The sequence below is a fragment of the Homo sapiens genome, chromosome 4 (genome assembly GCF_000001405.40).
Source record: "Homo sapiens chromosome 4, GRCh38.p14 Primary Assembly".
Classification (NCBI taxonomy): domain Eukaryota; kingdom Metazoa; phylum Chordata; class Mammalia; order Primates; family Hominidae; genus Homo; species Homo sapiens.
The window spans coordinates 153,111,339-153,113,157 of NC_000004.12; the positions used below are offsets into that span (position 1 = coordinate 153,111,339).

Genomic DNA, 1,819 nt, shown 5'->3' on the forward strand with positions numbered 1-1,819 from the left:
CTTTTGGAAAATACAGTAAAGTAGGAGGAACATACAGATTTCCCTTACTCGTATCCACACAGGACTGTTGTTCTTTTCATGTATAGTCTATTTCCAGGTGTCTGTATGCCTGTGGATAAACGTTTGTTCATTAGTTAGCTGGGTTGGGATCATCTGGTAGGATTTTTGCACTTAACTACCTGCTATAGTCAGAATGTTTGCGTCCCCGCCACATTCATATGTTGAAACCTAACCCCCAAGGTGGTGGTATTAGGAGTGGGTGCTACTGGGCGGTGATTAGGTCATGAGGGCAGAGCTCTCAAGCATGGGTTTAGTGTCCCTCGAGAGGAGGCCCTGGAGAACCCCTGGCCCCTTCTACCAGGTGAGGACACAGGGAGAAGGTGTCACCTGTGAACCAGGAAAAAGGTCCTCACTAGACACTGAATCAGCCGACACCTTGATCTTGGCCCCCACCCCTTCCAAAACTGTGAAAAATAAATTTGTTTATAAGCCCCCATGTTTATGGCACGGTGTCATGGCAGCTGCCCAAACAAACCAAGACACTATCTGTTGTGAGCATTTTCCCGTGGTTTTCAACCGCATAATTTGTAATGGTCGCATAGCCTCCCATCATATGAATGTATTGTAATTTATTTAACAGATTGCTTATTGTTAGACATGCATTAATATAAATCCTGAGATATAATCTGGGCATCAATCTAGACAAACGAGCTCCAAAGCTTTAGTTTAGCTCTGCCCTTAGGGCAGTATTGGAAGCTGTAAAGACAGCTGTGAGCTGGAGCAGTCCCGAGGCACCCGCATGCAGGTGTGCCGGGAAAGCCTGTGGTGGCCCAAAAGGCGTCATCAGCTGTCAGAGGGAGCAGTCTTCAAAGGCCAACAATCAAGCTTAGTGCCAGGAAGCACAGCTCCTGCACATGGCCCGCAGCCCTCTCAGGACAGAAGAACTGGGTGCAGCAGGCCTCACGTGCCTACTGGCGGGGTCCCAGGAGAGGTCCTATAGCTTCCATCCAGCTGTCCCCACACCCTGCTCCGCTCTGCTCTCTCCATGCCCCCACCCCGTGGAGCATAGCCCCTTCTCACCACACCCAGCCCTGCTGTGGTCCGCATGCTCCCACCTCTTCGGCCCCTTCCTTGCTTGGCCCTGGTGTCTGTGTGGACTGAAGGCCAACTGTTCCCTGGGACTCTGGTCACCTTGGAGCCCCCACCCCTACTGCCATTTCCAAATTACATCTCTCTCTTTTTTCTCTAGAACCCACAGCTTATGTGAAGCTGTGCCATTCAGCTCCACCACATCCTGCCTTTCCTCATGATGGTCCTTACCAACCTCTGATTATCCCATTCATTAAAAACTCTAGTTCTGCCTCACTACCTTCTCCTCCACATTTCCTCTGATTTTTACATCCGTATGGAGGAGCTGACCAACACTAGAGCTTCTAAGTCTCAGTAGCAGTTCCCTAGGGCCGCTGAAACAAATTGCTTCAAATCGGTGGCTTAGCATAACAGAAATTGATTATCTCACAGATCTAGAGGCTGGAAATCCAAAATCAAGGCATGGACAGGGCCACAGTGCCTCTGGAGGCTTTGGGCGAACTCTTCCTGGCCTCTTCCAGCTTCTGGTGGTTCCTTGGCCTGTGACTGTGTAACTCCAATCTCTTCACTTGGTCTTCTCCTGTGTCTGTGTGTCTGTCTCCCCTTCTTTCTATTACAAGGACACTTACTGGATTTAGGGCCCACATGGCTAATCCAGGATGATCTCATCCATTGATCTTTAATTGAATTATATCTGCCAAGACTCTTTTTCCAAATAAAATTATAGTCA

At 49.0% G+C, this 1,819-nt stretch overlaps 1 annotated feature.

Annotated features, from left to right (window-relative positions):
* Positions 933-1,432: an enhancer, noted in NCBI's record as "H3K4me1 hESC enhancer chr4:154033423-154033922 (GRCh37/hg19 assembly coordinates)". NCBI's record gives its function as "activates a minimal SCP1, AML or CMV promoter by ChIP-STARR-seq in primed H9 embryonic stem cells {active_cell/tissue: H9 hESC(primed)}" and the evidence as "EXISTENCE:reporter gene assay evidence [ECO:0000049][PMID:30033119]".